At 34.8% G+C, this 14,737-nt stretch overlaps 1 protein-coding gene across 123 annotated transcripts in view; it reads right to left on the reverse strand.

The window, feature by feature from the left end:
• The window catches only part of UTY (ubiquitously transcribed tetratricopeptide repeat containing, Y-linked), a 246,776-nt gene that overhangs the window by 83,263 nt on the left and 148,776 nt on the right, over positions 1-14,737 (reverse strand). For 108 of the 123 annotated variants that reach the window (NR_174404.1, NR_047613.1, NR_047627.1 and 105 more), the window contains 3 exons: positions 9,064-9,193; positions 7,444-7,549; positions 6,398-6,603 (listed from right to left, as the gene is read on the reverse strand). Coding sequence is in view for 67 of the 123 variants with exons in the window: in XM_011531448.4 (XP_011529750.1) it covers positions 6,398-6,603; positions 7,444-7,549; positions 9,064-9,193 (442 nt within the window). In the remaining 56 variants the exon portion in view is untranslated. Of the gene's footprint in view, positions 1-5,876; positions 6,212-6,397; positions 6,604-7,443; positions 7,550-9,063; positions 9,194-14,737 lie in introns of those variants that run through there. The other 15 variants (NM_182660.1, XM_047442757.1, XM_011531460.4 and 12 more) reach the window with 3 other exon arrangements.

Below are 14,737 nucleotides of genomic sequence, written 5' to 3' on the forward strand. Positions count from 1 at the left end.
CATGCCCGGCAAATTTTCGTATTTTCAGTAGAGATGGGGTTTTGCCATGTTGGTCAGGTTGGTCTTCAAATCCTGACCTCAGGTGATCTGCCTGCCCTGTCCTCCCAAAGTGCTGGGATTACAGGCATGAGCCAACACACCCGGCTGCTTGTGTGCTCTTTAATAAAGAAGACACTGGTATTAGTTTAATAAAAATAGTTACATCTTGAATTTAGTAAGACTGCCATAACTTCTAATCTTTTGGCTTCAAGCAGTCCACAGGTAGTAGGGCTTACTTTAGAAAAGAGATGTTACTGTTTTTGTTTCAAAGTTAAACTATAAACTAACTTCCTCCAAAGTTAGTTTGGCCTACACCCCAGGAATGAACAAGGACAGTGTGGAGATTAGAAGCAAGATGGTGTCAATTAGGCGAAATCTTTTTCACTGTCTCCATTATAATTTTGCAATGGTGGTCTCATAACTTTAAATAATTACAGTTGTGGTTTTTATAAATAATCTAGCTAAACAATTAAAGTAACTGTAATAGGATAAATACTTGCAGACAAATTTGTCAAAATTTAGAATCTAAAGTTAAATTAAATAACATGTTTTATTATTTGCTTATTTTCCAATAAAAATATATTTGTAGGAAAATATCCATTCTAGAAAAAAGGGTGTCTTTTTAAAAAGGTGAACAATTTTTTATCTGATTCAAAGCTTAGGTTATGTATAAAACAAAGTAAGCCGGGCACGATGGCTCACACCTGTAATCCCAGCACTTTGAGAGGCCGGGCAGGTGGATCACCTGAGGTCAGGAGTTCAAGACTAGCCTGGCCAACATGGTGAAAACCCGTCTGTACTAAAAATATAAAAATTATCAGGGCATGATAGTGTATGCCTGTAATCCCAGCTACTTGGGAAGCTGAGGCAGAAGAATTGCTTGAACCTGGAAGACAAAGGCTGCAGTGAGCCAAGATCGTGCCATTGCACTCCAGCCTGGATAGCAGAGTGAAACTGTCTCAAATAATAATAATAATAATAATAATAGTAATAATAGTAATAATAATAATAATAATAATAATAATAATGTAAAAGGAACCAGCAAATAAAAGAGGTAAAAAGAAATTTTATAAAAATAAAGAGATTTTGTTTTGGTAAGAAAGCTTAAAGAGAAATAATTTCATATGAGAAAGAATCTTGTATGGTAAATTTAGTCCTAAGTAAAACAACTGGTTGTTTAAGAAAGAGGGATGTTCAGGATAAACCAGAGAGTGAAGTATATCACGACCCATCTGCATAAGTCACAATAAGAGGATTTATTAAAACAAACAAACAAACAAAAAAAACCCAACTTTCATATGATCAAGTTGTCTATGATTAAACGGAAATTACAATGGTCTTTCTAGAGATTGGGTTTGATATAAAAAAACAAAAAACACTTATACATTAAAGGATTGGTTTGTAAAACAATGAAATTTTCATAAGGGGTTGACTTACTCTTAATAAATTATAAGAGATTTTTAACTCAAAGTTCAACTTCTATTGCATCTTGCTTGTTTTGGTTTTCTATCCCCTTTTAAAAGGCAAAATTAGGCTAGGCGCAGTAGCTTACACCTATAATCACAGCACTTTGGGAGGCTGAGGCGGGCGGATCACGAGGTTAAGAGATCAAGACCATCCTGCCACCATGTGAAGCCCCATCTCAGGTAAAAATATAAAAATTAGCTGGGTGTGATGGTGCATGCCTGTAGTCTCAGCTACTCGACTGGCTGAGGCAGAAAAATTGAACCTGGGAGGTAGAGATTGCAGTGAGCTGAGATCATGCCATCACACTGCAGCCTGGGGACAGAGTGAAACTCCATCTCAACCACCACCACCAACACCAACAACAAAGGCACATAATAGTAATACTCCCCTTCAATTCATTTTCAGCTCAGACAAGTTTGTTTTTCTTCTGAAATTTTCTTCTGAGGGTTCTGTTTGTTGTGGTCTGATGCTAACAATGTATTCTTAAAGATCTAAAGAAAATGTTTTTTTCCAACAGAATATTCTGTGACAGGAACAGAGGTCGTTTCTTTTGCCTTTTGGTAACTGGCCTAACAGAGTTTACATTTTATCAAAATAATTCCTATGCCATTATTATTAAGTTTGGTTTGCTTAGGAAAAACTGAGATTAGAAACAAGTTTCTTTAAATTAAGGTTATATGTCCTTGTATCTTGCTGTATGTGCTTTTAAAGTCTTTGTGATGTTGAGTTATAGAGCTTTGACTCCTGGTCTAAAAACAGAGTCCTGCTGAGGCTTAAACACTGAAGCCTCATCTTCAAGCTGGTAAAAGATGCCAACCAAAATAAACTGCATTCCTGAGAAACAGGTCCAGAAATTAAAGCTATTCAACTCCTGAAGGCCCAAGGACTATTGCAAAAGAGGTATGTGAGATTTTAAGGGACAATTTTGAAAGATAAGAGAAACTCAGTTCCTGTATAAATTAACCATTAATGTCAAAGACACACTGATACAAGACTAGCATATGTGCCCTATGTCAGATTAACAAGGATTTCTTGAAGCATTAACCATCTCCTTAAGAAAGATTATAAAGGAGTATGGAATTTATAACAAGATCAAAATGAAAATTATACAGATTGTTTATAAAATTTTGGATAACAAATTTAATTGGTTTCATGCTGTTTTTATAAGGGCTCATTGTTTGTAAAGTTAAGTATCCTCAATCAAATAATGAAGGTTTCACCTTTTTTTTAAAAAAATTATTGAGTTATCACTCTGGTTAAATTAATGATTTATTTTACAATGACCTCTGATCCTATTTTGTAATATCAAGTACTTTAAATCTTTAATATCTGACAAATTTTCCAATATCAAATGATAACTTCTGTCTTTTTCTGACCTAATTAGTCCTTTAAAATATTAATAGGTTTCCTAACATCCAAAAACGACATATTTGGCTTATTTGGCGTAAGAATTCTATAGGAAGCATTGTCAAATATAAAATGGTGCTTGGCTTTCTTGGGGCTGCATTTGTTATGGTGTTCCAAAATTATGGGAAACTCCTATAATTCTGTTATGTGTAAATGTACATTATTAGTAACACTTATAATAGTTATGTTAAATTATTGTGTGCCACAGAGATAACACATTTTCTTGTCAATTGTGTCTTTGACTATGACTGCTCTAAAACTTTTAGTCATCCACAGACAATTGTTGTCTTTATTTGGTCCTCTTTAGAAGGTTGTTTTATAATCAGCTATAAACTCTAACAGGTGCTCTTGAATGCAAGTTTCTGATAACTTGGAGACTGTGACATGAGAATACAGAAAAAACTTTCAGGATTCATGGAGAGCTGAAATGTTTGTGAATATCAAGCAGAACAGGAATTACCTGCATGGACTAAACTAATAGAATTCGAAGTAATCTTTTAAACTCTTTGCTTAAAATGTTGCTGATCCTTTGTTTCTCAGAGTCAAGAAAACTTTCAAGTTAACAATTGAGTACTCTTATGAAGAAAATTTGCAGCAAATTTGTTTCTGATTTCTCCAAAATTTGAAAACTATTTGAAAGTATTCTTAACAATTATGGCAATACAATTATTTGCATAAGTGAAATAAAAATGTTTTCATTGTTAAGAGGACACAATGGAAGAAACTGGTTATTTTACCAAGGCTTTGACTGAAATGGTGTGCTTTCCTTAAAGGAGTCAAATGTGACTTATGGAGTCAATAAAATTCCCTTGGGAAATCTGGCCTCATACCTTTTTCTGCATGGTCCCTGTAGAGAGTTACTGTCCTGTGGTAAGTAAAGAATGTCACTTTCTGACAGGCCTAGGAGCCCCAATATTATCTTGGAAAATCAAGAGTAGAGGAATTCAACCAACTCATAGGTATTAATAGCACAAATGCAAGGCTGGGCTCAGCTTTAAAAAAGTCTTAGCTGAGACTACTTCTATGAAACAAAGTTCCGTCAAAGCCAATTAAAAAAAGAAGCCTATTGGAAAAATAACTATTCTTGTGGCACTTTATACAAATAATATCGCCAAATAGAATAAAGAAAATAGATCCTACCATGATTTGTCTTTAATGGGAAATTGGAGAAAGAAAAAATGTTTCAAAAACGATAGTAAACCTGTTGCTAGAGTCTAGTATTGCCAAATTTTTAAATAGGAATAAACCATCCTAGCCATGAAAGATCAGACAAAACCTGACACCAGAGACTCATTTTCTTCTGAAATGCTTTCTCCAAAATATTTTTTGTTTTTAATGAGGGAAATGTGAAAGGAAAATATCTTGGGTACGTGAAATCACTATGCTAAAGGGAAAGGTCAAGCTGGGTACTGTTTAGGGCAAACCTGCCTCCATTCTATTTAAAGTCACCCCTCTATTTACTGAGCCAAATGTACACCTGATTGCCTCCTTTGGAGAGGCTAATCATAAACTCAAAAGAATACAACCATTTGTCTCTTACCTACCTGTGGCCTGGAAGACCCCTCACTACTTTGAGTTGTCCCACCTTTCTGGACTGAACCAATGTTCATCTTATATATGTTGATTAATGTCTTATGTCTCCCTAAAATGTAAAATCAAACTGTGCTCTGACCACCTTGGGGAAATGTCGTCAGGACTTCTGGAGGCTGTGTCACATGAACACATCCTCAACCTTGGCAAAATAAACTTTCTAAATTATCTGAGACCTGTCTCAGATTTTCATGGTTCATTAACTAATGATGAGTTATTGTTTCATGGGGTCAGAGTTTCAGTTTCAGATGATAAAAAGGTGCTCCAGATGCATAGTGGTTTTGGCTGCACAATAACATGAATAACCAATGCCACGGAATTTAACAAAAATTGTTAAATCATTACTTTTCTGTTTACCATATAATAAAAAATCCTAAAAATATACTATTTTCACAGCAGAATCAGATTCCTGTGATATCAATGTGATGAAAACATAAAATGAGGTCAGAATTTTAAACATTTTCTGGAGGTCAATGATATTAACAAATTATAAATTTGAAACTTTCAACAACATATTTTTCAGCCATAAAACTTTCATTAAGTTTTAAGGAACAGCTTTATAAAAAAGTTAGTTTTCTACATTCTTTCATCTGATATAGTAAAATGCAGTTCGATTTTATAATTTCATTTATTTTCTTTTTTTGAGATGAAGTCTCACTCTGTCAACCAGGCTGGAGTGCAGTGGCACAATCTCAGTTCACTGCAACCTCTGCCTCCTGGTTTCAAGTGATTCTCCTCCCTCAGACTTAAGAGCAGCTTGGAATACAGGCACCCGCCACCACACAGGGCTAATTTTTGTATTTTTGTAGAGATGGGTTTTACCATGTTGGCTAGGCCGGTCTTGAACTCCTGACCCCAAGTGATCCGCCTGCCTCAGCCTCCCAAATTGGTGGTTTTACAGGCATGAGCCATTGCACCTGGCCAAATTTGTAATTTAAAGGGGCCATATTAAGAACAAACAATTCAAACAAATATTTGAGAAATATAATTGTGGTTGCATATGCTTAACTATTTTCTTAATTTTTTTGAAAAAATTCAAAAACTCTTATTTCTAACAATTCTGTTTCTCCTCATTTACTATTAGGTGTTTTACTAACCACTGTCCTGTTTAAGATACTGTTTTTCAATTTTCCATGTATTTTTGACACATTTCTGTAAATTTCTTCTACAATTGTTTTAGAGATGACAAGTAATAGAGGAAGACTGCTAATGCTTCCAAAGAAAAATTATCCAGATAAAGTAAAATATGAACATCTCTTCATGGCTGAGTAAATACCTGAGCTGACCAGATAATTTTCTTCATATTAAGTATCATTCTGCAAACAGTAAGTAGGCTTAGTTTATCATTAAAATAAAAAATTCCAAAAATAAGGTAGATGTAAAGTAGGAACTTTATTTCTCCATTAGCAATGTGTGTTTTACATACTGTAATTTTGCTTACATTTTTAAAAGTTTACCGGGCATGGTGGCTCACACCTGTAATCCCAGCACTTTGGGATGCTGAGGCAAGCAGACCACCTGAGGTCAGGAGTTCAAGACAAGCCTGGCCAACATGGTGAAACCCTGTCTCTACAAAAATACAAAAATTAGTTGGGCATGATGGCAGGTGCCTGTAATTCCAGCTATTCGGGAGGCTGAGGTGGGAGAATCGCTTGAACCCAGGAGGCGGAGGCTGCAGTGAGCTGAGATCACACCATTGCATTCCAGCCTGGGTGAGAGAGAATGAGACTCTGTCTCAAAAACAATAAAAAATAATAAAATAAAATAAAAGTTTAATAATCTATGAGCACTTTAAAAACATACTATTAACAGTATGCACTAGACAATAATTATGAAAGTAATATGCACTATTAAAAAATAGCAACAATTAAAAAAGGAAGAAAGAAAAACTTACTCTCAATGATTCCTGGAAGGAGGAAGCCTGGTATTGTGCGTATTTGGCAATTGTAGTATGAGATCTATTGCTTTCACAACGCCAGATTTTCTTTGTTCCAGTGGGATCCCAGTTTTCATCTGCTGGTTGCAGCAACTGTGTCCTCACTTCTACCATATGTTCATTGTTAGCTTCTACCAAAGTTTTGGTAGAGAAAAGTCCAAGATCTTTAAAAATAATAAGTTTTGTTAATCAGTAAAGTTGTATTCAGTTCAATTAAAATGTCAAAGTATTTTTAAAAACTTTATCAGTTTCCCTTAAGAGGGCTCCAACCATTTGGTATCAGAGTTACACAGCAGGTCCTTGAAGCTCTGGCTATATAACCATCATGTCAGGGTGTAGAGGGTGGCAACATTTATAAACATAATCTAATTTTACTTATATTTAATACTCAGAACTTCTTCAACTATGTAACCTAAATATTGTATGTTGGATAATGATACCAAATATAAATCTAAAATAAAAATCCACCACAATATTATGTTTCAAAAACAATAGTAAACCTGTTGCTAGAGTCTAGTATTGCTGAGTATTTTTCATAATAGGGATAAACCATCCTAGCATGAAAGATCAGACAAAACCTGACACCGGAGACTCATTTTCTTCAAGTGCTTTCTCCAAAAGTTTTTTTTTTTTTAAAAAGGGGAAATGTGAAAGGAAAATATCTTGGGTACCTGAAATCACTATCCTAAAGGGAAAGGTCAAACTGGGTACTGCTTAGGGCAAACCTGCCTCCATTCTATTCAAAGTCACTCCTCTGTTTACTGAGCTAAATGTATATCTGTTATTATCCGTATATATCTGTATATGATATCTATATTATCACTTGCATCAGTGCTAAAGATGCTTGCTCATGCACAAGAGGTATAAAATTGAGTGAGAAAGAAAGATAACACACATTAAAATAAAGACTCAGAATGTTGGGGGAAAAAATCAGTGAGTTTCTGTCAGTGTTATAAAAGTTTAAAGATAGTAAAATATATATTCAATCTTGGTTTTAAGCTTACCTAATTTAAGAGCTCCAGCAAGGCCACGTATTACTGTAACAGGGTTTTTTGGATTTGTACAAAATTGATGTAATGGAGGAAAGAAAGCATCACGTTTATTTTCCAACTGTAAAAGCAAAATATTTTGTTAGGTCTCAGATAAATGACAAAATATACCTCAGATTTGTGCCTTTAATAAAATGATTAAATACAATACTTCAAATTTGTGAGTTTTTTTCCATCAATCTGGCTATTAAAAATCTGCAGTGCATCCTAACCTTTGATATTATGTTGCTACATATTACAGTATTGTATCATTTGTCTTGTCAGGAAAGTGTGGAGGTAATAGCTAAAAAAAACCCTCTCTTTTAAAAATTACATTTTAAATTTGATTCACTTTAAAACTGTTACCTATCTCTTATACCACAGTGATTTATAAAATTCTTTTAAATTAGTTGAGTTGTTCGAAAGTATTTCCCAAGCATATTTTTTGAGTTATCTTCTATTGCTTCTTAAATGAGACAACAGGTAGAAGAGACATTTAAAGTTTAAAATCAAACTGTTTTATAAACTATTAACAAAACTTTTAGAGAATAAAAACCACAACAGGCAAACCTTAAATTTGTATTTATTGCCTCAAAGTTTCAACTGAAACGCTTATTTTTAGTCTCTCTTCCATGACTCTTCTAATACCATCGTCAATAAATTTCAACTAGGTAAAAAATTAATATTGAACATCTGTCCAAAGAAAGGCCAGTATCTCCAAAATCCTCTCGTACAGATCTGTTTCGAGATCATTCTAATTACTGTATCTTCATATTTTAGGTTAAGATTCTTTAACTTGTGAAGGAGAATGAAAAAGTTGGGTGACACAAACTCTTCAGAAGGAAAAATACATAAAAATTATTTTGATGAAAGCCACAGCAGCTTTATCAAATGCTTACGTTGCTAAATAGTAAAAAAAGCCACTTAAATTCCAATGGAAATTTTATACCCACATGTATTTATGTAAAACTTTTAAATAACATGTATTCATAATCACTTTTATATCCTCAACCAGTTTTTATGAAGCTAGAAAAAAATTCCTTTATTAAAGAAATGTAACATTCAACAGGTATACATAACTAGCAGTGTCAGAATTCAGATTTAGAACCATGTTTACTAAAAGCTTACCCTGGAACAATTATCTTTTGCTACTCTCATATAATCCCAGTCAATATTTGAGAAGGCCTTAATTTTTCTAGACAAAATCTGTTTGCATATCTGGTGGTCAAGAACCTTTTCTGTCAAAGGCCAGATAATAAATATTTTTGGCTTTATGGGCAACCTAGTCTCTTTAGCAAACTCTGTCAATGTACTGCAAATGCAATCATAAAGACAGTAACTAAATAAATAAGCATAGTTATGTTCCAATAGAATTTTATTTTCAAAAGCAGGTTGGTGGGCAGCACTTCGAGTAAGAGCATTCATTTGTTAAGTGCCCTGAAATATAAACATGTTCTTCTGAAATATTAAACCTTTGAGAGTAAAGTCTATGCTCCCTAAGGCAATCTGGCTTGATTTAAAGAATACATCGATTTTCTACAAGACACATTAGTTCAGACTCTCGATTTATTTATAAGTTACTCAATGCGGACTCACGTAAATACTAGGTGTGGGTGGATTCAACTTGTCCTTTGGCAAGGGTGGGTATGGTGAAGTTGGTGGTCTTGGAGGTGGACATTTATCTAACAAAATGCAGCTATTAGACAAGCCATTTTTACCTGGATTCCTTTAAAAAGAAGCAGAAGAAATGTATCAGTTACATATTTATTTTAAAACTAGAAAAAAAAGAAAATCTGAATTAAAAGTCAGGCATAAGGCATTCACTAAAATACAAACAGTGTAAGATATTCAGATCCATTAAACAAAAAATTGAGGACTATTAAATTTCAGCAGATGTGTTATAAAAGCTAAACAAAATATACTACACAGAGTGCATGAGCTAAACAAAATACACTACAGAGTACATAAAGTGTTGACAAAATTCCTCGTTATTCATTTTCCAATTTGCTTTCTCATATCAAACATTAATATAAACTCAAATTTCTCTCCAACATGTGCCACCGTTAAATGTTCTCCATAAAATGATAAAACAGTTGATCAAGAAGTGATTTACGTATCCTTAATATCATAGTATATCTCCTTTCTGACACTGCATCTTAGTAATTATTTCTAGAATACCATTGTGACAACTTTCAAATCCAGAAAGCTCATTAGTTTCATCCTCAAGACTTGTTTTCTGTGGAATTAGCAAATAATGAGATTCCATTTACTAAACTTTCACATCTTATAATTTTAAGTGAAGTGTGTAGTTGCTCTGTGTTGTCACACTGTTCATAATCATTACTTAACAGTATTTGGATTTTTCCTTTAATGAAAGGTATAGTATTTGTTAAATTATTAATATAAATTCTTAAAATATGGTAAAATTACTTCCATAATCCAATTCTTCTTTTAGTATGCAAATAAGAAGTATATTCCTAAACCTTAATATTTTAACAAATTCAGAAAATTGGCAAGCCTTTCAAATTATTCAAGCTGTCTCACCTAATTATTAAAATTCTAAAATAATCAATGCATTAAAATATCAAAGGAATGAGCTCTTAAAAATGTTAATATTTCAGACAAAAATCTGAAAACTCTGTTTTGGAAAGTAAAAAATACATTACATCAGTAACCGCATTTATTTCAGAATCAATTATGTTTTTATTTCAATATATAGAATAATAAAAGCTGAAGCAAAAGCTTGTTTTGCTTTATTTTCCTACACAGAAAAAAACTTTCAAGTCATGCCTCTGTGGTTGGACTAATAAAAATGAAACTTTGAAATGCAACATATACACTTTTAAGATGTCATAGTAAACAGCTGTTAGGGTGTATAACCTTTTTAAACAACTAAAAAGGTCTTATGCATTTTTAAGTTATGAATTAGGTTAGAAATTTGACTTCTCTATTTTTTAAATAAAAAATGTGCAAATATCTATTAAACATTTACATTTAACTACCTATTACATTCTAAAGTAGTATCTAGATTTCAGTCTCTCTCCACAAAGCATAATGACCCATAGGTTTAGTTATAAATGATACATGTTAAGCTTTAAAACTTAAATACGGAACTGAACCTAATTCATAAACTCCTTAGAATTTCTGTTTTAAACACATAGAATATACTTTGTGAAGAGACAATTCAAGTATTCTCACTATACCAGTACTTAATTGTACTAAATTTGGTGAAGTATTTAATTGTACTAGAAATTTCTTTATGTTAATTTCTTGTAGTATCAAAAATTATTTGAACAACCACCTCCGTAAAAAAAGAGACTATGCAGGGTGCGGTGGCTCACGCCCGTAATCCCAGCACTTTGGGAGGCAGAGGTGGGCGGATGACCTGAGGTTGGGAGTTTGGGACCAGCCTGACCACGATGTAGAAACCCCATCTCTACTAAAAATACAAAATTAGGTGGGTGTGGTGGCGGTGGCCTGCAATCCCAGCTACATGGGAGGCTGAGGCGGGAAAATCACTTGAACCTGGGAGGCAGAGGTTGCAGTGAGCCGAGACAGTGCCATTGCACTCCAGCCTGGCTGACAAGAACGAAACTCTGTCTGAAAAACAAAACAAAACAAAAACAACAACAACAACAACAAAACAATAAGACTAAGAAATTGGGATTTACTGTAGAATTCTGTTGTTGTAATTTCTACAGTCTATAAAAGAAAAAACAGTGGATATATAGGAAGCTAAAGCAATGGAAAATATAGATACCTAAATGTGAAAAAAGAAAGAAAAAGATGAGGCATGAGCAGAAGAGTCATGATTCAATCACTAACACATGATATCACTTAATTTATTTGAATTCAGTTTTCTCCCCAGAATGGATGCTATTATCAACTGACTGAATTGGTGTGCACATAGAAACTATCATTTCTCATTCTGGCTTTTTCTCTACAACTCAGAATAATTTTATTCCCAACTTTAGAATCCATCCTTTTATTCTCTTTCTTTCTGTGATTGTTTTCTTTTTCTTTCTTAATTTCTCTCTTATTTTCTTTTTGGTATGTTACCTTCACTAGCAAATTGGAAGCTACATTTATTGGAATAGTGTTTCAGCCACAGATACTTACAATATTTTAAAGATACACTATTTACAGCTTTTAAAAATAAAATTATCCATTTCTGGTAAGGTAAAGTCCTTTTACCTTGTCTAACCCAAAAATAACTCTTTAAGAACGCATTTTATTATAAAGTGATTGTTTATATACACCTCAAAATGAGATAGATTAAAATCTATAGTCCATTAAGAAATATAAAACATATCAATTTATTTAATTATTATTTTGCAAAAAAATTATCATCACTACTCCATTACTGCTCCCCAAGGTTGTCGCAATCATAAATTATATACAAGCAAGAAATTTTGATTTCATCTTAGACGCTGATCAGTTAATATACATTTAATGGCTGACACACGATGGTTTCTAATAAAATAATCTAAATGCCTGAGAGTCTAATCAATGCTTAGATACAGTCATAGAGAAAAAACACGTGACATCTTAAGATCTCACAGTATGAGGAAAAGAGTTATATAATCGTGAAGCAAAAATTGTTTTCAAATTTGAAGTTTAAAAACTTTTTAATAAAATGACCAAAGTAGATTAAAAATAATGTTTAGATTGTCTAGTTATAGGTTATTTATTTTCTGTTAATTTGCATCTAATTTCAGAAAGCTCTTTTATGAATCTAATAAAACCAATATATTATTGTTAAAATTTCGAGGTTTAGGTACTAAAAATATAGAAGTAATACAGTATGTGTTTTAGGCATGCGAAATGACTTTCACTTACATTTTATACTCTTCTATACAGAACATTTATAAGAGTTAAGATAACTTATTAAGATTTAATTTTATTGTGTTTAAAGTCTATGTTAGGTTTGTCTTTGAGGCAGTCCAAACTCTGTAAAACTGACTGTGATAATGATTGCACACATCTGGTAATCTGCTAAAACCAAATGAACTGTAAACACTACATGACCAAACCGTATAGTATGTGAATTATATCTCAATAAAGCTGTTTTTTTAAAAAGGTGGATTAGGCTCTTTGAGGTAATCGATGTGTTGGCTTAATATCAAAGAAAGTGTTCCTGATTCTTTTTTGAGGGAAGGGAATGAAAACCAATTTTTAAACAAACATGTGAACCCCCATTGCTTAAAACAGTAGCACAATATAGCAAGTCTTACCAGACTGCCTGCATTCTCCGTGCATTTCCTGTCTCTCCTGAAACTATGTAACTTCTAGACTCTGACAAAATGTTTTCTAAAATGTAAGCAAAGACTAGCCTTAATAATCAGTAAGGCCTATTCCTACTCTTAACATTCTACAGCTCTAACTAAAAAGGAAACAAACAATAGGATATTCCAGGCTTTGCTGTTCCCTATGTGAGGACTTCCCTTATTGTCTTTCAATTCCCAGAATGAGGTTTATCACAGAGAAACTGATGATCCTAATAACCAATAAAGGTTTGTAACACTAGAAAAAGACATAATCTCGCAGATAAAGCAGTTCACAGAAAAATGTTTTCCATATCTAATACAGTGATAAGATAAAACCAGTGTTTCCACAATGGCCAAATAGGAACAGCTCCAGTCGGCAGCTCCCAGCGAGACCAACACAGAAAGAGGGTGATTTCTGCATTTCCAACTGAGGTACCCAGTTTATCTCACTGGGACTGGTAAGACAGTGGGTGCAGCCCACAGAGGGCAAACAGAAGCAGGGTGGGGGCACCACCCCACTCAGGAAGTGCAAAGAGCCCAGGGACCTCCCTCCCTCAGCCAAGGGAAGCTATGAGGGACTGTGCTATCTGGCCCAGATATTATAATTTTACCAGTTTTTGCAATCCGCAGATGAGGAGATTCCCTCGTGTGCTTATACCACAAGGGTCCTGGGTTTCAAGCACAAAACTGAGCGGCTGTTTGGGCAGACACGGAGCTAGTTGCAGGAGTTTTCTTTGCACCCCACTGGTGCCCAAAACCCAAGAGAAACAGAACCATTCACTCCACTGGAAAAGGAGCTGAAGCCAGGCAGCCAAGTGGTCTCACTCAGCAATGCCCAGCAAACTAAGATCTACTGGCTTGAAATTCTCACTGCCAGCACAGCAGTCTTAAGTCAACCTGGGAATGACTAAGCTTGGTACAGGGAGAGGCATCTGCTTTCCTGGGGCTTCAGCAGGCAGTTTTCCCTTTGGCAGTGCTAAGGAGGCCAGGCGGTTTGGATTGGGTGGAATTCATCACAGCGCAGCCAAGAGGCTGGGGCCAGACTGCCTCTCAAGATTCCTCCTCACTGGGTAGGGCATCTCTGAAAGAGAGGCAGCTGCCCCACTCAGGGGCTTTCAGATAAAACTCTCATCTCCCTGGGACAGAACACCTGGGGGAAGGGGTGGCTGTGGGCACAGCTTCAACGGGCTTAAACTTTTGTGTCTGACAGCTCTGAAGAGAGCAGTTGATCCTGATAAAAAGGATTCTCTCAGCACAAGGCTTAAGCACTGCTATAGGACAAACTGCCTCCTCAGGTGAGGCCCTGACACCTATGCCTCCTGACTGGGAGAGACCTCACACAGGACTGATCCAGCTGGGATCAAGCCAGTGCCCCTCTGGGACAAAGGCAGCAATCTTTGCTGTTCTGCAGCCTGCACCTGATACCCAGGCAAAAAGGGTCTGGAGTGAATCTCCAGAACACTGCAGAAGATGGGCCTGTTAGAAGAAAAAACAACGTCATCAATAAAAAGGACCTTCACACAAAAGCCCCACCCAAAGGTCATCAGCCTCAAAGATCAAAGGCAGATAAATCCACGAAGATGAGGAAAAACCAGTGCAAAAAATGCTGAAAATTCTAAAAACCAGCATGCCTGTTCTATCCAAAGGATCACAACTCTTCTCCAGCAAGGGCACAGAACTGGACAGAAAATGAGACTGACAATTTGACAGAAGTAGGTTTTAGAAGGTGGTTAATAACAAACTCATCTGAGCTAAAGGAGTTAAAGAACCTTGATAAAAGATTACAGGAAATGCTAACTAGAATAACCAGTTTTTAGAGAGGAACATAAATGACCTGATGGAGCTGAAAAACACAGCATGAGAACTTTGTGAAACATACAGAAGAATCAACAGCTGAACTGATCAATTGAAAGAAAGATATCAGAGATTGAAGATCAACTTACTGAAATAGGAGTGAAGACATTATTAGATAAAAAAGAATAAAAAGGAATGAACAAAGCCTC

This window comes from Homo sapiens, chromosome Y (genome assembly GCF_000001405.40).
Source record: "Homo sapiens chromosome Y, GRCh38.p14 Primary Assembly".
Taxonomy (NCBI): domain Eukaryota; kingdom Metazoa; phylum Chordata; class Mammalia; order Primates; family Hominidae; genus Homo; species Homo sapiens.